The sequence below is a fragment of the Homo sapiens genome, chromosome 18 (genome assembly GCF_000001405.40).
Source record: "Homo sapiens chromosome 18, GRCh38.p14 Primary Assembly".
Taxonomy (NCBI): Eukaryota; Metazoa; Chordata; class Mammalia; order Primates; family Hominidae; genus Homo; species Homo sapiens.
This window is the reverse complement of record NC_000018.10, coordinates 66,548,681-66,575,419: the sequence shown is the minus strand read 5'-3', so window position 1 is coordinate 66,575,419 and position 26,739 is coordinate 66,548,681. Positions and strand designations below refer to the sequence as shown.

At 31.9% G+C, this 26,739-nt stretch overlaps 1 protein-coding gene across 7 annotated transcripts in view; it reads left to right on the top strand.

Moving 5' to 3' along the window:
* Positions 1-26,739, top strand: part of CDH19 (cadherin 19) — a 103,008-nt gene that overhangs the window by 28,671 nt on the left and 47,598 nt on the right. For 6 of the 7 annotated variants that reach the window (NR_073130.2, NM_001271028.2, NM_021153.4 and 3 more), the window contains exons 2-5: positions 3,104-3,410; positions 6,710-7,004; positions 20,896-21,015; positions 24,162-24,326. Coding sequence is in view for 6 of the 7 variants with exons in the window: in NM_001271028.2 (NP_001257957.1) it covers positions 3,216-3,410; positions 6,710-7,004; positions 20,896-21,015; positions 24,162-24,326 (775 nt within the window). In the remaining variant the exon portion in view is untranslated. Of the gene's footprint in view, positions 1-3,103; positions 3,411-6,709; positions 7,005-20,895; positions 21,016-24,161; positions 24,327-26,739 lie in introns of those variants that run through there. The other variant, XM_011525931.4, reaches the window with a different exon arrangement.

Below are 26,739 nucleotides of genomic sequence, written 5' to 3'. Positions count from 1 at the left end.
TCATATTTGCATTACTAGCCCCAGTGTTAAAGTGTAAAGAGGGCTTTATCTGTGGCCTTGGGCAGAGGTCTTTCTCCAGCATTTCTGATGAGGTCTCCTTATTGAGTAAAGTGGGTGAAACCTTGAAGACAGTTTCCCACTCTGACAATGTACTTAGTACTTTTTCACTCTTAACACTCCCCTTGCACTCCCCCGACCCCAGAGTCCATAAAAAATGACTTAGTTTTTTGTAGCACTACCATTATAATGAAATGATCCACAGGTCTGTGCTTATCCTCTGAATTAGAGTGCTGTTCCATGGAGGAAATGAAAAAAGGAGATGCAACAATTTCTTTTGTTTTAGCCTCTTGCTTATACTATTGCACTAAGTGTCTAAAGGCTTACCTCTTAATTTTTTTACATGTTCTTTGGATTAGCTGTTCCAATACCTGACAGCTCAGTTTCTTCTCTTTCAATTCAGCTGATCTCTTTACAAAAATCATTGTGATTGGTTGAGAAATTCTCAGTTGGATTAATTTCTTTTCATTTTCAATACTTTAAAAATGTTTCTGCAGTGTCATTTGGCATGCATTGTTTGAGATGAGACATCTGCTAACAACTTTATCTTTGTTATTCTATATATAACATATCGTTGTCTACCTTTCAGATTTTCTCATTATTAATGGTTTTGAGTAATTTAATCATGATGCTCCTTGGTATAATATTTTTTAACACCTGTGCTTAAGTTTTGTTAAACATTTTGGATGTATGAGTTTCTAAATTTCATTGGTTCTAGAAACTGCAGTTATACATAAATGAGAATGTTTGAAATTGTCTCACAACTCAATGATAGTTTGTTCATTTTTAATTTTTTAACTTGTTTCTCATTATGTTTTTTCAGAAGATTTATATTTGTCTTCAGTTTAACTGTTTTTTTTTCTCAGTGTGAATAATATGCCATTAATCATATGCAGTGTATTTCATCACAGACATTGTAGTATTATTCTCTAAAAGTTTAATCTTTATTTTATTTTTTCAATTTTTCTGCTTAACACGTTCAACATTTCTTCTGGTCTCTTGAACATATATTTTGTGTCCTAGTCTACTAAAGATGTCATGCAATAGGATTGGCTATGAATATTTTTGATGAATATTTTATATTACTTCTAATCAAGCCCCTAAACATTTATAAAAAATATGGAGGATAAAGAAACATACTGAATCACACAACAGTGATACAATTAGCAACATTCAGACTATGTGAAACTCTGTAGGACAAATAACCTTGACTCTTCAGCATATAAACGGAAAGAAAAATTGGAGGAAACCTGTAGACCAAATGAGAATTGAGAAATGTACCAAAAAACTGCATTGTGTGGACATATTTAAATCTTAATTCAAAGATAAAGATTTTTAATTTGAACACTGTATGAATATTTTATTATATTAAAATTTTTTCTTAATTTTAAGCTTTGATGTTTAAAAGTGTGTATACACACTTACATAACATGTATACTTGTGTGTGTGTGTGTGTGTGTGTGTGTGTGGCTTCAGTGGTTAAAATGATATGAATTTGAAATTGGTTTTAATATTAAAAAGTGAGCACGTGTAGAAATGACACAATATTGACCATGTGTTGGTAATTACTGAAACAGGGTAATGATATCCAGGTGTTCATTACACTATTTTATTTATCTTTATATGTATCAAAATACCATAATATAAAGTTCCCAAAAATTATATTCACTGAAACACAGCCAGCTAACTTCATATCAGTGTTGGTAATAATTTGCCAAACTTATAAAAAAAATCTTTTTCATGAATAATATTGTACCAGTTCCAAATATTTTTATTCATCAGCTACCAAAAATATATATTTTAGCAATTTCTAAAGAGCAGATTTATCTGAATTTCAAATACGTAACATAAAGATAAATTTCACCTCAGTTGAATTTCTCTATGACCTTCATTAAGTAAACTTTTAACAAGGAATACATCTGCTTAAAGGGAGTATACCGGGACCACAGAATCCCTGTGTACTTTCTTAATTAGGTGTTTTTTAACAACTCCTCTTAACACGAGCCAAAGACCTAAAAAATCTCTAAGGAGTCATTCAAAAATACATGCAGAAGATTCAAAACACAATCATGTAGAAAAAGTCCTAACATGAACTCTGGCTTTTCTGTTGATTATATGACATTAAACTCCATTGTGAATCTTACAAAATTATTTTTCTTCATAAAATAAATCAAATTTGGCTGGATGTAGATGTTGGAAATGCAAAACTATTAAGTTACATATAAGGATTAGAGGTACCCATCATGAAGAGAGAGCCTTGGGTCAATGGAAAGTTTTAAATGTAAAACTCAATAGCCAGAGTCTTTTGTTTTAATATTTAAATACTAGAAGATACATTTCATATCATTCTTACATATTACAAACATTCACCCATTCTTACCCAGGAACAATCATTTTGTATTTATTGTCCTAAGAGGATTTTGTTTTTGTTAAGCTGATAAACACTTCTTCCCCATATCTTTGAAATTAAAAAAGAGTAAATATCTTATGCAAGCTTTCTATTCAGTGTTTTATAGTATCAGTGTAACTGATTATTGAATTCACCAGTTTTAAGCTGAATTGTCATTTTGTCTATTTAATTACTACATAAAATACCATAATTTGGGAAATTGGATGAGGAAGCTTATCTCTATCAAATATAAAAAGGAAAAATAAGACTTTTTTCCTCCTGGATTGACTGTTGCTTTAATGAGATAGTTTGTATTTTACTGAGAAAGAATGGAGAAAGTAAGCAAGTCAAATTAAAAGGAAGTCTATCTCAATGTCAGCTGTCAATCCAGGAGACTCCCAGAGCAATCTTTCAACTTTCAGGCAGATTTATGACTGCAGTTTAAAACTAGCAGTGCCTGAGTGGAAATTTATAATTATTCTAATCAAATTATTGCTGAGCTACAAATCATAATTAGCCAGCTTAATTGGAAGATAAATTAAATGTTTATTTTTATTCCACTTTTGTCAGATGCAGAAGTTGTAACCTGTCTTTAGTAATTATGTGAGAAAATGTTATTTTAAAATGTCAAATTTTGTTTTGTTTCTGACGCTTTAGGTATATAGAAGGTACACAGAATCAGAAAAGATTATAAAAGAAAGCAAGATTTTTGTTAGTGACGTCCTGTTTCCTCTGAAGAGTAATAGTTGGAATCAAAAGAGTCAACGCAATGAACTGTTATTTACTGCTGCGTTTTATGTTGGGAATTCCTCTCCTATGGCCTTGTCTTGGAGCAACAGAAAACTCTCAAACAAAGAAAGTCAAGCAGCCAGTGCGATCTCATTTGAGAGTGAAGCGTGGCTGGGTGTGGAACCAATTTTTTGTACCAGAGGAAATGAATACGACTAGTCATCACATCGGCCAGGTACTTATTTATTTAAAATGTTACAGTAAATAGCACAACAATGTAAATAAATATGTTGGAGAAGTTTGGAGATTTGATGAGTTCCACATTTTTACAGTGAAGCCATTGAAAAGCTTCAAACAGCAGCATCAATAATTGTTTCAGATTTGCAAGCACCTAAAACATCCACTAAAATCTTGAAGAGGGATAGCTCTGGTTTTTAAATTTCACTTCAGTATCCCGTATGAAAATGCAGCCCTCATTTTCAACATCTGGAAACTTTATTGCGTTATTTTTGGTAATGAATCTAAGCAGTCACAGTGAGACAAATATCATTTACCAACAGTATTTAGCCCGATTTTCTGTTACGCTAAGTAGCTGTTGATTTACCCCTCGTTCATTTTTAATGAAGCAGGTTAATACCATATTCTCCTACAGTTAAGTAGCTTCAGGAGCCTACACACTTAAATTGATTAGTAAAGTTAAAGTAAAAGGAATAATTATGTTCACTTTCTTAAAAGAATATATTTTAAGAACAATTCCTTAATGAGACAAAGCATCTCCTATTTATGTTTTTGGCTTGTATTTTATTATTTGGTTTTCTTTAAACAAAGGTGATTACAATATCATGTCCTTTTCCATAAGGCTTTTTCTCTAGATAAATGAACTGAAATAAGTTTAACCGCTAATTAACTGGCACTAAAATTTAATTGGGCCCAAAGGGTGAAGCACTCAAAATTTATTAACTCTCATTTTCTAGCCCTTTCAGGAGAGCTGCAGTGTTAGCATGGTATCTGGATTCCATAGAACTTCACCTGTGTTATCAGCCAAATGTATATGAGTACATTCAACCAAAGCCTTAGATTAGGATTTTAGGCAAGTATTTCCAAACGTGCAGGGAGGAGGGTGTATTGTGAACACACACACACACGCATACACACACACACACATTACAAGAAATATTTCTCAACCCCTTTTATTTTCGACTCAGACTACAGGTAAATAATACGCACAGTTGGCACTAAGAAGGTCCACAGTTAGGTGCCGACTCAGTAACTGAGTCTCTAGCTACCTTTACAGTGGACTGCACAGAACACCATATACTCTCCCATCACTGAATGGGGTGACAGGCTAAAATCAGCTATTGGCTTTTAGTAAATAAGGTGTTATAGGGAAGTGCATCAGTGTAATTGGAACACAGGCCACCTCTGGGGCTGTCACATTTTCTAGTTTGTTTGTTTCTACTCCCCACATGAATCTCTGTTTACCTCCTTTCTCACAGTGATTGGTTTTGCCTATTTTTTCATTTCAGAGACATATTTATGAAACTACTCTGAAAAATGTTTTTCTGCTACACAAACTCATCAGGCTTAAAAAACAAGTGAATCACTGATTTCAAAAAGAACAATAATGAATGTTTAGGTGCTTGTCAAAAGAGTTAGTAAATATACAATTTAGCTGCTGCGTTCAAGATAACTCTCTTTGATCCATTTGTTTGAAAAATGATTAAGATTGGGAAGTACAATTAAGTGAAAATTTGAAGTGATATTTGTTTAGCAAATTGATAGTAGCAGCCTAATTAGGAAAATATTTTTTGAATAAAAATATAGAAAATTGTATAATACTACAGGCCATTTGATTGAAATGTGTTTAACATATGCATTTTATGACATTAAAAGGCTGGTGTTCAAGTAAGCTTTTTCGTTTTTGTTTCTGTCTTCCCTTAAATCTGGGTCTTAAAAATGTCAAGCTTACTTGTCTTTGAAAATTACACTGCACATATACTTGCAATATATTTACTTATTACTAAACTTAATTTATCTTCATTATAATATCAAATAAATTATCAAATCATATTGAAATGATATAATTTAAAAATATGAACCATACATTGCTCACTTGATATATTGATTTGATTGTATAATTTGTTCCTCAATTTCTTACATCATCGCATGAAGAATTTCTTTTAGGAATAATTAAGAACTATCAAAAGAAGTATTACCAGAAAGACAATCTGGATGTTATTTTTCATTACATAGCATTGATATTCGGCATGTTATTAAAATGCAAAATTAGTTACTAGTACCTTCAGATTTTCTCCACAACCGCAAAGAAAGTGTATTAATTTATCCAGTATAAGAAATTATAACTTAAGCCATCAGAAAAATCATGAATTTGTTTACAACTGATTTCATGATTATCTTTGTAAATTTTCAGAGGAACTCTTACTGTGAATAAGAGCATTTTCATAAATGGTGAATCAAGAAAATGTGGATTCACAATGATTAGGGAACCATGACATTCTTCTCTTACATACAAATAATTCTGATATGAAAAGCTATGTGATCATTTTAACTATATCAGAATTAGACGGGTTTTTTTACAGATAAATTAAAAATTCTAAATAATACCTCAACAGTATGAATGATGAACTAATTTACTTTGCTTTTTGAAAATATGAAAATGAGTGCACAGGCTGAAAGTGTGTATTTGAGAATTAGGTAGAATATATTGAGAAGAAAGTTTTATACTTTATGGCTAAAACCCAAGGGCTAAAGAAGATGTAACTGAGTTGTTGTCAGTGGACAGTCTGAAATTTGACAGCCTCATAGAAGATTTGATAGCCTCGTGGTGTAAATTCTATATCTACACAAAGACCATATGACTCTGAAAAAAGTTTGTAAAACAAAATCTCACTTTTCTTCTCTATAGAAAAATTGATCATATCAATAATATGTATTTCATAATATTGATATGAGAATTACTTGAGAACACTAATATAAAGCAATTTATAGATTTTATGACATGTAATAAATACCTAATGAACAGTCAAGATTATCATTATCTTTATGAACCCTAATTTTCATCCTAATATTTTCTTGTTTCCATGTATATTCATGCAAGAGATAGAACATCAGTGTTTAAATGTCACTAAATTGTCTTTCTATCTATCTCAAGGACCCAATCTAGTATAAATATTTGAGAGTATAGTTTTAGTGACTGAGAATTTAATTATAAATAAAAACTGAACCAACTATGTTGTGCATAACTTACAAAAGAAGCTTTATTATCCAATTATTTTTGTTTCTGTTTAGAATAATGAAATGTGTATAGTTCTTTACACTAAATATTCACTCTTCCTTCTCCCTGGTGATAGATTTTAATCTTGATATTAATATTTTGCCTCATTTAATGTAATGTGGAAATAATATAAAATCATTAACTTGGGGAATAATTAACATACATAAAAAGAAAATCTTGATTTTGATTTGTCCATTTCAGATGTTTGGAAACTAAATGATCCCTCTTTCCATTTGCAGCTAAGATCTGATTTAGACAATGGAAACAATTCTTTCCAGTACAAGCTTTTGGGAGCTGGAGCTGGAAGTACTTTTATCATTGATGAAAGAACAGGTGACATATATGCCATACAGAAGCTTGATAGAGAGGAGCGATCCCTCTACATCTTAAGAGCCCAGGTAATAGACATCGCTACTGGAAGGGCTGTGGAACCTGAGTCTGAGTTTGTCATCAAAGTTTCGGATATCAATGACAATGAACCAAAATTCCTAGATGAACCTTATGAGGCCATTGTACCAGAGATGTCTCCAGAAGGTATTGCATATTAATTTACATCAAAGATATATTAACAATGAAGCAGGTTTAAAATTTGAAGGATATGTTTTGGAAGTAGATGATTTAAGGGTCTATACTAGAACTTCCTTCTACAAATATGTTTAAGTAAAATATTTGAAAAATTAGACTATGCATCAAAATTTTGAGAAAAGGGTACTACATATTAATGTTATTAAAATATCTCAGCCTTCACAGGAATAAAAGAAGTTTAGATATGTTTATTTGAGCAATTCGTAAGTTTTTAGACCTTGTTCATTTACTAGGTTCTTAAGTACAAGAATTTCTTTTTCAAAACAAAATATATTTTTGTATCTCATAAAAGCAAATAAGATAATCCTGCAAGATATGCATAAAAATAGGAAAAGTGAATTTATTAGACTCTATTGTATACATCAAAATCATGAAGAAAAAACCACTAAGACAAAACTAAGTGGTTGAACACCTGTGTGTGGCTGTGTTTATTCAAAGATACTTTTCAAAACCCAGTGTTGTTGTTGTTAATATTTTAAATATAATGCATTTAGGAGAGAATGGTTTCCATAAGATATAAGAATTGACTGTCTTGGAAATTAGAAATGTCTTTCCAGTAAAGGGGAAATTGTGATTATGCACAACTTCTCTCAGTTATTCACTCAAAAAATTTTTGTAGCACAATATACTGGAAAGTTTAATTCAAAAATTTACTTAACAGTGACAAATAAATGTGACTTGATAATGGCCATTTTAAATTACGGTAACATGCTTATAACTACTTTACCTCATTACTTGATTCATTAGCCAATGATTCCAAAAATACATATTTCATCATATAATTTTCTGATTCTTGATTTTTAACATTCCAGGTAGGAATTTAAAGATGTATTTCTACATTGTTTGGAACATAGGTCTTTAAATACAGCAGAAACAAATTTGCCTGTGTAATATATATCAAGACAAATTATTATGAGATGTAAATAGCACTTTAAATTACTCTATTTTGGTAGGTAGGCAAAGAAACAGTTCACCTTCCTCATCCCTCCCTCTCCTCCTCCCCCTTCTCCACCTTCTACTCCTTTCCCTTACTGCCCTCCCCTCTGTCTCCTTATTCCCTCTCTTCCTCCTTCCTCCCTCTGCTTCTTGCTTTTCTTCCTCTGCCACTGCTTCTTCTTCTTCTTGCATATATTATGATGTAACATGCTAGGAATCTTCCTTTGAAACTATAGATAAAATTGTAAAGGAGATAAAGGAGTTACCTGCTAATATGAAACACATTTTAGTTATATACAAATAAGAAATAGTTATTTTAATTAAAGGAGGTAATATATGATCATGTATAGTATAAAAGTGTTATGTATGGGTGAGGTATGATGATTATTAATTGTCTGGAGGAAACGGGACATTTTAGGAGGTGATATTTGAGGTGAATTATACAAAGAGGCCATCCATACCACATTCTAGGAAAAAAGAATCCATAGCAGAGTGCTCAGGGCTGTATACATCAATATGGAAGTCATCAACATATAACACGTATGTCAGGCATGGCAATGAATGAGATCCCTTTGGCAGAGAACGTAGCTGGAGAAGAGAAAAGCATCCAGGCTGACTTGACTGTTAAGCAAAAAGCAGTCGGCTGGCAAATTAGAATGAGTGGGATTGGCAAGCGTTGTAGGAAGAAGGGAAAAATATGAGAAAAGATGTTCCAAAAGAAGAAATCCCTCAACCGTGTGTAATGCTGCTGTGAGGCTAAGATTAAGACAGAGTGGTGACTTTTGATTTGGTAAGTTGAAGACCCCTGGTTTTTTGATAAGTACAACAGTTTAATTTGTGCTATTACAGCACACTGAAGACTATTGTATGGCATAAAAGGAAGAATAAGAGGAAGTAATAATGATTTAAGCCAAGTCTAAAAGGTGTTACGCCACAGGGAGAAAATGAAATGTGAGATGCTAGGTAGAAAAAGATGAAGGTCAAGAGGACTTTTTGCTTGTTTATGACTATTCAATTGTTTTTTAAGAAAGGAAATTGAACAGCACTGTTATATACTATGGGGAATGATTCCAGAGAATAATATTATTTGAAGCAAAGTAAAAGGACATAACTTCTAAAACACTGTTCTTGAAAAAAAAAAAAAAAAAGAAAGGGTCATGGAATCCATTGTACTTATAGAAGGGACAGATTATATGTTAACATATTTGTTCATAACCAATCAGTTAATAAACGTTTCTATTTTGTCAGTGAAGCATAATGCGAAGGCAGTAATTGAGAGAGCATGGGTAAAATTTTAGAGAAGAGGAGGTACAATACTGCCATTTTACAGAGTTGGGTAGTGAACCCATGAGAGAATTATTGGTATCATGGTATCAGTGCAGCCCCACTGTAGATGTTCAGAGAGATTGCAAAAGATGGTTTGGTCTGTGCAATATCTAGCAAGCACAAATCTCTTTGTGCATTGCAATTTGAGATAGAGGTACAAATTATCTTTTCAATTTGTGTAATCAATACATACTGTGTGAGTGCCAGTTAGGGTCCAGGCTTTGTATGAAATCATGCAAGAACTAATGAGCACTTTGTGTAACCTTTCCATGAGAGGGAGAGGCCAGCTGAGTGATGGTCAGTTGCTATTAGAAGTGTTATATAATATGGAAATAGGGGAATATTTCTATTGCTTTGCCAAACTTCTAGCAACGGTTTCCTTCTGAAGCATTCCTGCATTTGTGTTGACTGTGAAGTAAATAAATCAATTAATAAAATTATATGTGATTTATCTTTTTTCCTCAATCTCAGTATTAAATTAATGAATACTGCGGGTTTTATTACCTAAATATAACTTCAATTCTTCATTATCTTTCTATATCCACGGCCATTTAAGTTTTTGAATATTGACCTTACTTCCAAATTTCCTAGCCAGCTACTTTATTCTTCAAAAACAACTATTGCAAACATTTTGCTGTTTCTTTTTCTTACATATATTTCTGTTGTATTGAAGTGAACTGCCTATTATTATATTTGAATCTGCACTTGAACTCAGAATTTGGTTTGAATTACTGAAGGGAATCCATATTTCATTATGTCATGAGATAAAATCAAGAAAATTATTAACTTGTTGCTTATTAAACACACATTTCTTTACAAGTAATGATGGGCTTTTACTGACTGCATTTATGTTTGAAATGAAATTAACTTCAAACTAGAACTTTCAAGTAGAGTTGAGATAAAACATTATGCTTTCCCAATTGTCACTTTGGATTTGCAAAGTTACTATTTTTCTGCCATCCAAAAATATAAGATTTATTAGACCACAAGTCATAGAGTGACTGAGATTTGGAAGGATTGAATAAATAAATGAGTGAGTACATGGGTGGACAAAAAAATGCTAAATAAGTGATTAGAATAGTTTAGGATATAAATAGAAGATTTCGGGAGATGTGAAATTCATGGAAATCATTCTGAAATTGTATCTGAATAGCCAGCCTATCAAATATGTAATCTTCCATTTCAGTAATATTTGCTAGTTTTACCTAAAACCTTATAATGTCAAAAAAAAAAAAAAGAAGGGGCATTTAAAATACGTGTAGTATACTACTTAATAAGCAATTAAACCAAAGCAGAGTCGGGTAACTTATCTTCTGCAAATCAGCACAAAATCCTGCTAAAAGTGAAACATGCTTTAGCCAGTCACATTACGTGGAAAACAACCATAATAAATAGATATTGATATTGTACACATTATGAATGATCATTAGTGTTAATAGACTTTGTTTATATGTCTGTGTATGTGCAAATGCAAAAGGAAAATTTAAAATCTGACTTCCTTAAAATTTAGTTTCACATATTTCTGCCTAATAAAAGCAAGGAGAATATATTGTCTAGTAAAAAGACTATCCACTCTCTTTGGAGCTTTTCCAAATAAATATCCTCCACCAAATTTTTCATATCTGTAGTCACTGAGGGCATCATTTTTAATATTATCAAGTGTCCAACATTCCTTCCACTTGCAATAACCATTTCCTTTTATTTTCAAAACCAGATGCTTTTGAAAATGAATGGGGATAACTAGTGAGTAAGACTCTGTTTACCTTACTATTTAAGGAAGCTTATTTTGGCATTTCAGATTTTAAATTCAAATATAATATGTTATAATGATCTCTGTAATTATTATGCAATATTTTAAGTTGCATTTTTTGGAAAAGCATATAGAAAATTTAATATTCTTCATCAACAATATGGTACAATATGTCATAAAGGAGAGCTTTTATAGAAATATTAAATTCACCTTAAGCTTTGTATGGAAAATCTATACAAATTTAATTTCAGTTAATACTCAGGAAAATAAAAAATCATGAATTTTCAAAATTTATCACATTTGTGAATTAGATTCTATAAATCTCTTGCCTTTGGGAACATGAGTTGAACATGACTGAGACTGGGATGAATTTCTCTTCTTATTCTTCTAAATATAATATTGTTTGATTTATTAAACACAGTCTAATTTGTTTTACTTAAATTCCATTATCTCAGATTATAAAAAGTAGAGGTGTCAAAAATGCAGCACAAAAATAATAAAAATGACCTAGTTTTTAGGTGACTATGGACAGAAAAATAAAAAATTTGAAGAACACTTTGCCCAGTTAAGATGACAAGTGAGAAAATATTATCTGTTTCCTGAGTTTCACTTCGAGACTTTAGGTTGTAGAGTAATTGCAGCTCAAGTATAAATGCAGCAAGAATGGGTCAGTCAGTACTGGTAGAAAAATAATTATCCTTGTACTAATAAAATAAGTTCCCAATGTGAAGGAGTGAGCAGATATACCTATACAACTCTTATGTCATGTATTTGATCATTTGATCACCTCATTCATCTTAATCCTGTTTTATTGTTGCAGAAATTACATATGCAGAGTGTGGATCACTATAATATTATTTGATCTGTATAACATTGAAGTTGACAATTATACAACCCAACATCTCAATAAATTTGTTTCAGATTAATCAAAGTATACTTGTACTAAAACTGGATGTAAAAATAGCTTTTCCATTAAATTTATATCTACATTGTAAGAAAAGAACAGTTAATCTCCTTACTATTGAATTCAAAATGAATAAAATATAACATTCTAAAGTAAATGTCATTTTGAAATCTACAGCTGGAATCTTGGCATTCAAACACTATAGCATACTGTGGCACCTGTACTTTAGTATTCCATAATAAATGTAAGCTTTAATTATAAAATGCCCTCGCCACAGGTTGCTAATTTCTCTATTGCTTACATAATATCTAAATTAGTCTGCATAGGAAAATTTTTCACTTTTTATGATTTTTTGTTTATATGCTTCCCATAATCACCAGTGGATAAAGCATTCTATGTGACACAGGAAAGAACATCATTTAATAAAGTTGTAAGCCATGTTAAACATCTGCATGAGAATAGTTTCATCCTCTGCATAACTCCTGGTTAATAATAAAATTTACATAACTCAACAGAGACAGAGTTACACTACCTTTACCTCAGGTTTTACTCAGTGATGGCAGAATACATCTGATGTTTGGATAAATTATTATTGATGCTTTCATTAATGCTCTCAATCTTTAAAATTTCTATGTAGTTTTATACAGGTTAGCACCTTTAAACATTACAAGAATGCTTCATTTCACACACACAACAAATATATTATCTTCTGTTAAGATACTATTATCACACTAAAATTTTCTGTCATAAAAATGAAAAATATATCAGTAAATGCAATTTCCAGAGATGACCAAACTAACGTTTTCCTTTCAAGCACGTGGTACAAGTGTACATCCTGTGTCACCTATGTCAGGGGTTCCCAACAACCAGGCCACAGACTGGTGCTTGTCTGTGGCCTCTTAGGAACCGGGCTGCACAGCAGGAGGTGAGCAGCAGGCAAAAGAGCTAAGCCTCATTTGTATTTACAGCCGCTCCTCATGGTTTGCATTACCACCTGAGCTCCGCCTCCTGTCAGATCAGTGGCGGGATTAGATTTTCATAGGATTGCAAACCCTATTGTGAACTGCACATGTGAGGAATCTAGGTTGCATGTTCCTTATGAAAATCTAATGCTTAATAATCTGTCACTGTCTCCCATCACTGCCAGGTGGGACTATCTAGTTGCAGGAAACCAAGCTCAGGGCTCCCACTGATTCCTCATTATGGTGAGTTGTGTAGTTATTTTATTATATATTACAATGTAGTAATAGTAGAAATAAAGTGCACAATAACTGTAATGCGCTTTAATCATCCCCAGACCATCCCCATGCCCACTCCCCACCCTGACCATGGAAAAATTGTCTTCCACGAAACTGGTCCCTGGTGCCAAAGAAGTTAAGGACCACTGACCTATGTTACAATAAGTTTCTGCAAAGAATGTGATTGATAAAATAAGCAAAGTCAAATATTGTGTTGAACTTATTTTTATAAAGACCTTTTGCTATGAAAAGTTGCCAAGATTTGGAAACTAGCTAGAAAGACATAATTAATATTTTAAATTTGCAATTATGAAAAGTCTCTCCAGAGTAATGCAAACAATGTCAACTGTCCACACAATAATGGAACCCAAGATTACATTAGTAATTATATTTGTATGTTTATTATCAGAATAAGTGAACTGATAAGCTACTCTAATTAAAGTATGATTCTAAGAGAATTTTTTTTTCTAAGCACACTTTTGTTCACTTAGAATGGATACAAACTACAAGTCATTTTGATTCTTTGCATTTCCAAATACCACTGGCACCTCTGATCCAGCCACAGTGACCCCACTCAGGTATGCATGCTGAACTTTGGACCCTTCGGTCCCCCAAAAAGCATTTTTTCACTCTCTGTTTACATTCCTTGCTAATTTGATTTCAAGGATCTCATTAATTTAAACTTTTCAGAGTTCCCATCATTTGGTAGTTACCCAATTCTGCTTACTGGATGGTGTATTGCAGGGAATAATAGGACTTAAGGCTGTGGCAATTCAATATACACAACTCGTGCTACGTTATTTTCATTTTGTGTGCTATCCTGGTGGCCACTTTATATTGTCACTGTTGTTTTAAGGTAGATTGAGTGACCAGATCTTCAGTTTTACCCAGGACAGTTCTGCTTTACTTCTATGTTTCTGTCATCATGTCCTAGAAGCATTTGTCCCAGATTTTCTGTTTTACAAAATGACTATTATTAAGTCATTAAAATAAGCCAGAGTGAATTTTTCAAACATTTACTTTGTACTTGTAGCTTCTTCCATGGAGTGTGAGAAACAGTCTGTCAGACAAATGAGCAATAAATAGACTTCTCTTAAGATATAGTTAAATCTGAAAGAGGACAAGGGATAACCCAAAGGCACTGTATGATAAAATAGTTAAACTAAGAAACTCATTAAATGATGTAAATACTTATGAAGAATATTCTTCTGGTGCTATATTTAATGTTAAAATCTTCTCTAAAAAAGATTTTATTAATGTTCATATATATTATTTGTCTTTTGTTAGAAATACCTATTTCCAGTATAAAATGTAGAATTTAATTTTTGATCCACCAATGGAGTAAGACCCACTTTGCAAGTATTAATGCTATCATAATAAAATGTTCATCAAATGAATGAAGAGAGACTAAAGAGGTTAGGTATATATGACCTGTACCATGCTTCATGTTCTTATCAGATAATGCACCCTAAATATGCTACCCTTCTTCAGTAGAGTAAGAACAACCAATCCAGGCTGGGAAGAGTAATAAAAAATATGTTTAACAAATTGAAAAAGAGATTTGGGCTTTGAGAAAAATATCAAATTCCCCAGGACTAAATATATGTTTTCCATAAATATTATATACATATATTTGCCCTGATTCTGAAATTTTTGCTTTTCCCCCTCTATTTTTCTTTTTTTCTGAAAGTTTTATTGTTCTAATATTTATATTCTTATTTTTCTTATTATTTACCTTTCACATTTGGATCTACAGTCTGTTTTAAGCTGATATTTGTGAAAGGTGTAAAGCAGGTGCCAAATTTTATATCACAAAATTGGTGTTAGATAGATGGACAGATAAATGGAGATATCAAGCTGACCTTGCAGAATTTACTGAAAAGTTTCCCTGATGTTCAGCTCTGCCACCTTCTGGTGAAGGGGTTCTCTAAATTTGTGTAATCTTATCTCTGATTCTCTAGTTGGCTCTACCAGCTATTCATTGCTCCAGGGCAAATATTATTGTCTGAACTACTGTAGTTTTGTCCTAGGCGTTTGCTCGTTATTAGTGCAACTACTGTAGGTATTCTTCTTCAATAAAATTGCCTTGCGGAAGTTGCAGTGTTCAGAGACCACGCCATTGCACTCCAACCTGGGCGACAGAGTGAGACTTCCTCTCAAAAAAACAAAAACAAAACAAAAGAAACAAACAAACAAAAAATGCCTGGACCATACTTGGTCCTTGTTTTTCCATACAAATTTTACTTATTTTTTAATTGTCTTTCCAAGTTAACCATTTATACAGTCCACTAGGATTTTGATTGAGCTAGCTTTTAAGCTGTGTATTTTTTTATTTTTAAGTAGTCATCTAATTCCTAAATCCAGTATTTTCATCTATTTACTTATATCATTAATTTATCTTTAGTTGTTTTGCAGAGGTTACAGTTTTTGTTTAGATATTCCTGAATATTTTATTTCTTTTCATATATATTATATATTTAACTAAAATAGGTTTCATGAATATATATATGCCAGAGTATATACATATATATATTCATATATTAAAAAATGCACTTTTATATAACATTTGTGTCCCTGTTGACTTGCTAAATTTATGAATTTAATGTTTTTCTGTAACTATATGCATATTTTGAGTTTCTAGCAGAAAATATTATTAACTTTAATTATTTAGTTTTATTTATTCTTTTCCAATATTTATTTATCTACCTGTCTATAAATGCGTTATAACTGCATGGTATTGCCTCATTGCATTGTCTAGGAAGTTCAGTACAATGCCGAAAAAAATAATAGTGACAGAAAAACATTTTTTTCTTTTTATTATTGCAGAGGAAAAGTTTTAACTCTTCACAATTAAATATAATTACTGTCAAGGCTTAAAAGCATTCATTATCAGATTCAGAAAGTTTCCTTTTATTCTTAATTTTTAAAAAGTTTTTATTGCAAATGTAAGTTGATTTTTAGATGTACTTTGTTTTTTTTATTTTTCTCCTTTATATAAAAAAATTGAAATATATTTTCCATGGAAATACAATTTTAAAAGTTTCAAGAGGTTACAGATATGGCCTGTGTAAACAATGGTCCTTATGTAGAATAGTAGCCATAATATTTTAGAACACAACAGCAATTCATAGTGATGAGTGGGTTGTTTTTAGGAAATGGGATGACCGGGGATGGGAGCCGCATTTCTCATAAACCTCTTCGGAGTGATTCTGACAGTAAACAATAATCAGGACATGAACGGAAGTAATTACATAAGCCTAGAAATCCTCCAGTACTTGAAAAGAGCATTGTGGTGGTATTCACTATGACTCAAACATGACACAGTTCTGATATTACAGACAAATGCTGAAATACTTACATATGTTCTTATAAAAAATTATGTAGGAATTAAACATTCGTTGTCTAAACCAACAAGTGTTAGTTAACCTATATTTAACTAGGAAAGGGGCACTATAAGACAATTGATCATTTCCACTGAAAGACACTTTATTGGTTTCATAGTAATATTTTCAATTTTATGTGGACGATAAAACTAATTCCTAACTACAGGTGAATGTACAAATTGATTTGCTTACAAATAACAAGTCTTTATAAAAATATAAATATTTACAATTGTGTTAAATATTTTTGTATTGCTGTCTGCTTTTATATTTAATTATTATTGTGATCTCTTTATGTTACTTGACTATTTCTTGAGGATTTCTGCCGAATACAAGTTACTCATTAGGAAAACATACAGGCTTAATTCTCTTTAAAAACATAGAAACAATCCAAGAGGATTTAAAATTGCTTAAACTGTGTTTTATAAATCATGGTGTCAATAATAACTGAAAGAGGGAAAAGAAAGTAGAAAACAACTAAATAAAATAAACAAAGATAATTAGGGTCCTGTAAAAATCGAGCATTGCTAAGATTCATCTAAATTTTACAGCCAACATTTCCAAGGCATGAATAAAAATTAAGAGAAAAACTACAAGCACTAAATATTTGGAAATACTGCTGCATATTTTTGCCCTCTTAAATATATATATTATATATATATATATATGAGATAAAGATATATGATTAGATACAGATACATGTCTGTCGCCCAGGCTGGAGTGCAATGGCGCTATGTCTGAACACTGCAACCTCTGCAAGGCAATTTTATTGAAGAAAAATACCTACAGGAGTTGCACTAATAAGGAGCAAACGCCTAGGACAAAACTACAGTAGTTCAGACAAGAATATTTGCCCTGGAGCAATGAATAGCTAGTGGAGCCAACTAGAGAATCAGAGATAAGATTATACAAATATAGGGAACCCCTTCATGAGAAGGTGGCAGAGCTGAACATCAGGGAACCTTTTCAGTAAATGTAAAACACACATTTACTGAAAATATATGTGTGTATATATACATGTATATATACACATATGTAAATACACCATACTTAGATCTACCTGTATACATATATGCCTATATATACACATAAACATCTTCTCACACACAAAAAATGTAAGGAGTGAATCACTTAATACTCATTGATAGTCCTTACCAAAAAGTAAGCATTTCTAAAACATTGTTGAATTACACCAATTCTATAGCCTTGGTTCTTTTAAAATGCCACAAGTGTCATAAGAAAGAATAACAAATATTTCCCCAGAAATTAAAATCCCCATCAAATTCATGTGTGAGTGGTATTCTGAATATTTATAATATCACAGATTTTTTCCACTAAAATTTCTAAGAATTTGACCTTTTAGATTTTCTACACACTCAGGGAAATTATTTTGTGTAATCTATTAACAGAATACATTAGATTCTCCACTTAGTAGACAACAGGAGAAAAACACTGAAGAAGTAACTTTTGGTTACAAGTAAATGAAGCATCAGTAAAAAATGTTCACCTGCTCTGGCATGTCACTACCTCTTTGCTTTCTATGGGTGTGATCAAGAGGAGACCTGAGAGAACAGGTGTACAGTAGGTTACTGAGCAGGCACAATAATCCAGGTGTGTGTAAGGAGTACACACTGGTATCAGATACAAAGGGAAATCAAGAGAAATGAGAGTTGTTTCCATGTCTTTGCTATTGTGAATAAGTCTGCAGTGAACATGGGAATGCAGATATCTTTACTAGTGGTGTATTTCATTTTCTTTAAATAAATACCCAGTAGTGGGATTGCTGGGTCATATAGTAGTTTTATAGTTAATTTCTTTAGGAACCTCCATATTGTTTTCCATAATGGCTACATGAATCTACATTCCCACCTACAGTGCACGTGTTCCCTTTTCTCTATACTCTCACCAACACTTGCCTTCTCTTGTCTTTTTAATAATAGACATCCTAACAAGTGTGAAGTGATATTTCATAGTAGTTTTTATTTGCATTTTCATGATGATTAGTGATGTTGAGAACCCATTCATATAACCATTGGCCATTTATTTGTGTGTGTCTTCGTTGGAGAAATATCTATTCAGGTTCTTTGCCAATTATTTAATCTGATTATTTGGCTTTTTGCTATTGAGTTGTATGAGTTCTCTTAAATAAATCCCTTATCAGATAGAGGAATAAAGAAAGAAACTGTGTCATATATTTACAGTGGAATATTATTAAGTCTCATCAAAGAAGAAAATCTTACCATTTGCCACAACATGGATGAGCCTGGGGGACATTATGCTAAGTGAAATAAGCCAGACACAGAATAAAAATATTGCATGATCTTATTTATATGTGGAATCTAAAAAAAGTTCAATATAGAAAGATAGAGAATAAAATAATGTGTCGGGGATATGAAGAGGGAGGAAATGGAGGTATGTAAGTCAAAGAATACAAAGTATCAGATAAGTAAGATAAACAAATCTAGAGATCTAATGTACAACATGAGGACTATAGTTAATAATATTGTATTATATTTGAGATTTGTGATGAGTGAGTAGATTTTACTTGCTCTTTCCATGCACACACAAAAATGGGTAACTTTGTGAGATGATAGATATAATTTGCTTTACTATAGTAATCATGTTACTATCTATATGCATAACATGTTGCATACCTTAAATATATATAATAAAATTTATTTTATAGAAAAAGCATGCTAAAAAAACTGGACTGGAAAAAAGAACCTAACTGTATGACATATTTCTATCATCAAAGTGTGAGGTCACCTTTTGTGAGTCATTGCATTTTCTGGACTTCTTGGTTCTCATTTGTATAGTACTAGCTTAGGGGCTCTAAAGACTGATATTACTAAAATTTATTTCAGTCAACTCTGAAAATGGTATGATTTTGATGATTGTATCTGAAGCCAAAGATAGGAAATATAATTCTAGAAACCAGGGATGGGAACCCCTTATGGAAAGAAATGATAGAGAATTATAATGAGGAAATGTGGGATAAGTAAGTGGATCGGTGCATAGAAGGATAGTTAAAGGAACAAGTCTTGCGCAATATGGATCAATGAAAGTGATGGTCCCTGTTAACTATTTTGTTGGAAAAACTTTCACAAATTACTAAATAAATTCACTTTAAAACATCTGAAACTAGTAAGTGTCTACACATTGAGTGGTTATTCAATAAGTTTTGGAAAAGAGAGGCAAAAAGTTTTCCTGATTCATTTTGAATCAGGTAAAAGTATTACCCATAAAATTATGTGAATAAGAAGAAATTCTACTTCAATAGAATATGCTGTATGATATTAAAACAAATGTTAAATAGCATTATAAAAATATTAAGACAAAAGAGCAAAGAATATGTACTATTTAGGGCCACAGCAAAAGTTTCATGTTAGTGAAGTATAGAATGGATTCCTATTAGAGTGTATCAGTTTATAAAATTGGGCTACGATGAGAAAATTCATGATGCTAGTTGTAAACAAAACCACAGAAGCTATTTGATTTTGTGTCATTCGTGTTGCTATTCTTATTGACACAGTAAACAGTGTTTCAACAAATACATATTTCAAATAAGATCCATAACATTCAATTCCATGTTTACAGAAAGATACTTTGAAAACTCAATATTTTTGAATAAATATTTTAAAAATCTGAGCACTAATTTTAAATGTATACATAATTATTCCATATGATTTTATTTCTTGTTACTGAATTTTAATGAGAATGCTTATGTTATCAATATCTGCAAGATTTTACTTTGCTTTTTAAAAAATTCATCAAAGGAAGTAGGTATATTAGAGAAGAGAATTAAAGGAGCTGAATAATTATGCCCATCCTTATCCTCAACTGGATACTCTTTCAAGCTCAATTCAATAATCTTTGTAAATATTTATCAACCTTCTCCACTTTGTTTAAGGTACAGGCTACACTATAATTTTTGGTGAAAAGCATTTCCAAGTTCCTTTTAATTTCTCCACTAATAATACACCTTGGAAAAGTTTATGATTTATAAATTATACATTACAATGAATTGTTTAATAGCTACATCTTATTAGGCCATCAATCTACATGTTTAAAATTCCATATTGCATACAGGAATTAGGAATATTTTGTATTAAAAGTTATATTCTTTTGCCTGAAAAAAATAAAAAACAACAAAAAAATACATTACTTTTACAATTAAGAACAAGGAGGTGAATTGAGCTTTCATTTTGTAACAACATCTTGCTTGGTAAAGAAAGACCGCTTCACAGAACTGAATTCATCCTGAATAAAACCACAATCTTAATTTCCTGTATTATGTTCTCTTTAGGAACATTAGTTATCCAGGTGACAGCAAGTGATGCTGACGATCCCTCAAGTGGTAATAATGCTCGTCTCCTCTACAGCTTACTTCAAGGCCAGCCATATTTTTCTGTTGAACCAACAACAGGTATTTGTGAATGAAACAAGCAAAGTTTAACATGATTCTAAAGAAGGCAATTGTCAGCAAAAATTATCTGCTTAGAAACATGTTTTACAGTAGTCCTGATATGTCAATAAGCAAAAAGATTGCAATTCCTAAGCATTTAATTACTTTTAGTCTTTTAGCTGATACTTCTAGGAGACTGGATTTTTCATGTCCATAGCACAAATTACTTATGTATGTGGTTTAAATCATATGTAAAGATTCTTTTAAATGAATTAGAAAAAGAGACCAGCAACCCAATTTAAAAATATAGGGAAAAAACATTTATAAGCAATTGACAAAGAACAATATACAGAAAGCCAGTAAGCATATTAAAAATGCTCAGCCTCATTAGTCATCAGGGAATACAAACTAAAACCACAATGAAATACAGCTGCATAACCCTGCAGAATGACTGAGATTAAGTCTGAGTATAAGGCTAAGCGTACACATTGATATGAGACATTCACCTAAAAATAATTCTGTATTTTACAGATTTCTGATTTACATGAATACAATATTTGATTCTTTTTGTAATATTGCTCTACCAATCTGCATTAATCAATTGAATATAAAATAAGTAGAACACAGTTTTCTCTTTTCTTTAAACAATCATATGACCCTAATTCATTAAACAAAAATTAATTTTTGTGTTTTAAACAAAGATTAGGCCCATGTAATTTTTTTTCCTTTAGAAGATTATAGTCTCCACTGAAAAAATATATATATATAACTAATCACCCAAGAACGTGAGAAGTGCCAAAGAAGTAAAATTCTATGGTTTTTAATACAAGGAAAATACTATTTCCAGCTTATATCAAAACCCTTAAAGAATTAAAGTATTGTGTTGGATCTTTAAACATTTCTTATTTATTCATTCAGCAAATATTGAATGTCTCAGCCTTTTTCAATTAGGGTTTCTTGAGAGAGTCAGATTCTAAAAAATATTATTTGAGTACCTATGTTCTTAATTCTCTCAGGAATGTACATGGCCTTTATTTTTTCAAATGTATGGAAGAAAAATTATTTTATTATATGCAATGAATGCCTCAAAACATTAGACTTTAATTCCCTCACACATTCAGGTCTAGAAAGGCTGAATATGTACCAAATGTTATACAACTTGCTAGATTTATAAAGGTACAAATTGCAAAATTTAAAACAATACATAATAGTAACAAAAACAAGATATAATAATGGACTCTTCTTTCTTGGAACTTACAGATAGATATTAAACATGAATAGTAATACACACATACATTCCACTGTAGGTACTTATGAAGTAAAACCAAAAAGTTTCAGTGGGAGAAAACAAGTCAGGTTGACTTTATGTTGTGTGGTCAAGGCAGAATACACGGAAATCAGAAAGTTTAGCTGAGTCTGTAGACAAGGAAGGGAGAGTGGAAGATGATTTCAGGGCATGGGAAAAATTAGGGAAATTCCTGAGGTGGGAAAGAGTTGAAACTCTTAGAATAACTGAACACCAGTGTGGAGAAATGCAGAAGAGAGAAGAAAGGGAGGTGTCTAGAGTACAAACCCATGCTGGGTCATACCAGGCCTTCGTGACCATGTTTTCTTTCCACCCCCAGCCCCTACCCTGCACACTGACTTTTTAACTATACTGAGCAGGTTAGCTAAACTATTACTTGCATTGCTGGAGAAGCGTTGGTATGGACAACGACAAACATGGATTAAATTACTGAAAGCATAAGTTCTGAAGTGCATAAGATCCAGAAATACATATCCTTTATTCAGTCAAAAGGCTGAGAGGAAAAGTTGAAAGCAAAGTAGGCACAGTTAATGGGGAACAAAGACTCCTAGGTCCCTCTCCCCTGAGTCACATACAGGGAGACGCTAGCAGCACTTGTGCAACATATTGAATGCTTTCCATTGGATTCAAATAATTGATTACATGTGTGAAACACTTTAGTCCGCAACTAAAATCCCCTCATGTTATGGTCTAATTTATCTTTTAAAAGTTCATATAACAATTCTTTAAAAAATTATATTATATTAAATTTAGTCCAATAAATCAAAAATACTACCATTTCAACAAATAATACAAAACTATGGAGATAGTTCACATTTTTTGTTCTCAGTCTTTGAAATCAGGTGTGCATTTTATACTCATATGTCATTTTTTTCACAAGTTTATTGTATTCTTTAATTTACTTTTATTTTAGGTTCAGGGCGTAAATGTGCAAGTTTATTACATGGGTAAATTCTGTGATGCTGAGGTTTGGGGTACTAATGATCCCGTCACACACAGGTAGTGAGCATGCTACCCAATCAGAAGTTTTTCAACTATCTCCCCCACTCCCTCCTTCCCCTCTCTAGTAGTCCTGAGTGTCTATTGTTTCCATCTTTATGTTCATTAATATCACAATTTTTAATGAATATTTTGCCCTTGATATATTTGGGTATTGGGTATTATTTATTTTTTGTGACTGTTTATGTGTTCCCCAAATCTTTAGAAATGTTGAGTCCTCTCTTATGAACCTGTCTTAAGATTTTCTTAGGTTCTTTTCAGTGATAGTTAATAAATGTATATTAAATAATTTTATAGAATTTAAGCATTTATTGCAATATTTATCATTAATTATCTTGAGTTTGAATATATTATATATGTGTATACACACACACATAAAATAACTGGGTCAACAACCAGGTCTTCTTCAGATCTCATAATTCTAAGTAGACTTCAAAATAATAAGGGCATGACATTTATTTCATAAATTTGGTATTATAATTTACAAATCTATCAATAATATACTAACTTCAGAGTTTCGGGGACAAAGTTAACTGTAGCAAGCCGATATTATGTTAGAAGAGATAGCAGAAAATAGGTTAAAGTAAAAACAAGACATTCTTTTTTTTCTACCTGTGGATTATCTTAACATAGTATTTTATTAAGGGCCTACCAGTGTTCCTAATATTGTGATGATCACTCTAGACTCTAGGCAGTGTTGATGTTTAATTTATTTTTTATTATTTTTCTCTAGTGAAGTCTCTGTCACATTGCAGTGGTTCAACATATAGCAAAATAATGTATACTGCAATGGTTAAGAAATTAACTAGAACTTTGTCATGATTAATAATGAAATAATTGGAATTTTATTATATTTTTAAAGGAGTCATAAGAATATCTTCTAAAATGGATAGAGAACTGCAAGATGAGTATTGGGTAATCATTCAAGCCAAGGACATGATTGGTCAGCCAGGAGCGTTGTCTGGAACAACAAGTGTATTAATTAAACTTTCAGATGTTAATGACAATAAGCCTATATTTAAAGAAAGTAAGTAAAAAGGATTCTACATCTTCATTACATTATAAATATGAGTGTGTTAAATATAAGTAGATTATATAGTTTTCATTCTAAAAGCACTACATTAACACTAAAATTATATAAAATAAATTTGTCAATTGTTCTGGTATGATTATTTTAATTCATGTTAAATGTTAAATACAAATGAAAGAATAATGTGTTAGTTTCTATTCTTGCTGTAATAAATTGCCACTAACTTCATGGCTTAAAACAAATGTATTATGGGTCTCATTGGGTTATGATCAAAGGATTCAGGGAGGCATTTCTTGCTGTAGGATCCTAGTTCATTTAAGGGTTAGCAGAATTCAGTTTACATGTATATAGAGTTAAGGTCTCTGTTTTATTGATGGCTGTAAGCTGGGAGACATCCTTAATTCCTGAAGGCCTCTTTATGGCTCTTGATTTAGCCCACACATCCCAGAAGCAGCAAGGAGTGTCACATACTTCACACACTGACAACCCTCTAACCCACACATTTGCCTCTTCCACTTTTAAGCACTCATGTAATTAGACCGAACCCAGTTGGATAAAGCAGGATAATGTTCCCATCTCAAGGTCAGCTAATTAGCAACCTGAATTCCATCTGCAAACTTAATTCTCTTTTGCCACTTTCGGTGACATATTTATGCGTTCAGGGGAATTTGGACACAGATATCTTTGTGGGGTCCTTCTTCTGCAAACCATAGATAATCATTTAAAAATGACTTTTTGTATTTCTTTTTACTTTATAAGCCAGAATAGGCCACACCTGCTCTAATAATTTAAGCAATTACTGCAAGCTAAACATAAACACATGGTATGCTTCGTAAAATTTTCTTATGCAATTATTGGAGGAATTTCTTTTCTAGGAAATTTATTTTTCAGGTTATACTGTTTTAGCTACAGGAATACATTTATAAGCACTTCCAGAAAGCATAAGTAATTATCATGCTAGGAAGAAAATTTAATTAGCATGGAACAAAGAAAAGAGCCAATAAAAATATATACCATAGCATGATTTCTTAGTTATTGATTGTTTATAGACAGAAACAAAACTATCTTTTGATTACTTTTTTTTCCTCATCCTTTTCTGTTCCTTGCCCCATTCCTCAAAGTCAAGTGAAATCATGTCATTTTTAATGGCCCAAGTGAAATGCTACTTTCACTGACTTCCTTCCAGTAGTTGAGTCCATGAATAAGCACAGGAAGTTGGCATCATACAAATTTGCTTTTAAACCCTGAATTTTCCATTCATTAGTTGTACAGACTTGAGAATATCTGTTAATGTGTGTGCGCACACACAAATGCCCACACCTAAATGATACAGACAACTACTCAGTGTAGCCAACATATGCAAGGTTATCAGATCTTTTGATTTTTCAATAAATATCACAAATCTCATTTTTTAATTTCTGCTCTATCTCACAATTTTAAATTTTGTCATATTAAAAAATTACCACTGTTATATGGGTTGAGAAAACAGTTCCTCTGTGGATGGACTATAGGCAAAGGGGTCAGAGTCTGCACCTTCGTCTCTCTCTGTGTAGTGTCACATATGATGTATATGATACATATGTTGTCTTCTGTCCACAACATTAATATGGCCTCTGAAGGCAAGAGGAGAACACCAAGTTAAATATGAAATACCCAGAACTTTATAAAATAATTGGCATATAATATGTGGGAAATAGTGTCTGGATTTATTAAATAAATTTGGTCTAAATTTATGCAGATGATTATTAAATAGCAAGTAGAAGACTCTGGAAGACAGGAAAATTCCCAAGGAACTTGCTGCGATAAAATATCCTGAAGCTTCTACTACCTTTCTCAGTTTCCCTCTGATTTTTCCTGACTTTAATATTAAAATATTTTGAATAAATTAGAATATTTAAAATATCTTTTAAAATTATCTTTATTACTCAAGTCTGAATATGAGATGATGGTATTCCTCTTAATACTTTCACTCATATACGAGTGTGGGTGAATCTGATTCTGGCCTCCTTACTCTTGTCCACATGGTTTTCCCTTGTGGGAATCCCATTACCCTCCTCTCAATGTAAATACTCAATACCTATACCCTCTGTTGTGGGCAACACTTCCTACCCTCCCAATTAAAGGCATCTCTCAAACATCCCTCTCCCTTGTGTGAACAGCGTCCTCTGCTGGTTCATATCTATCACATCGAAACATGTTTATTATTGTTTTTTCTCACATCCTAAAACAAGACAAAACAAAAACACTTTCTTGCCTTCACTTCCATACTTAGCTAAAGATGCTTTGTATTCTTCCTTTCTCTTTAGAGAAGATTTATTTAAAATATTGTTCATACTTATTGTTTCCAATTAACGACCTCAAAATCTCAGAACTTACTCCGTTTGAGTTACATCCACACTACTTGACCAAA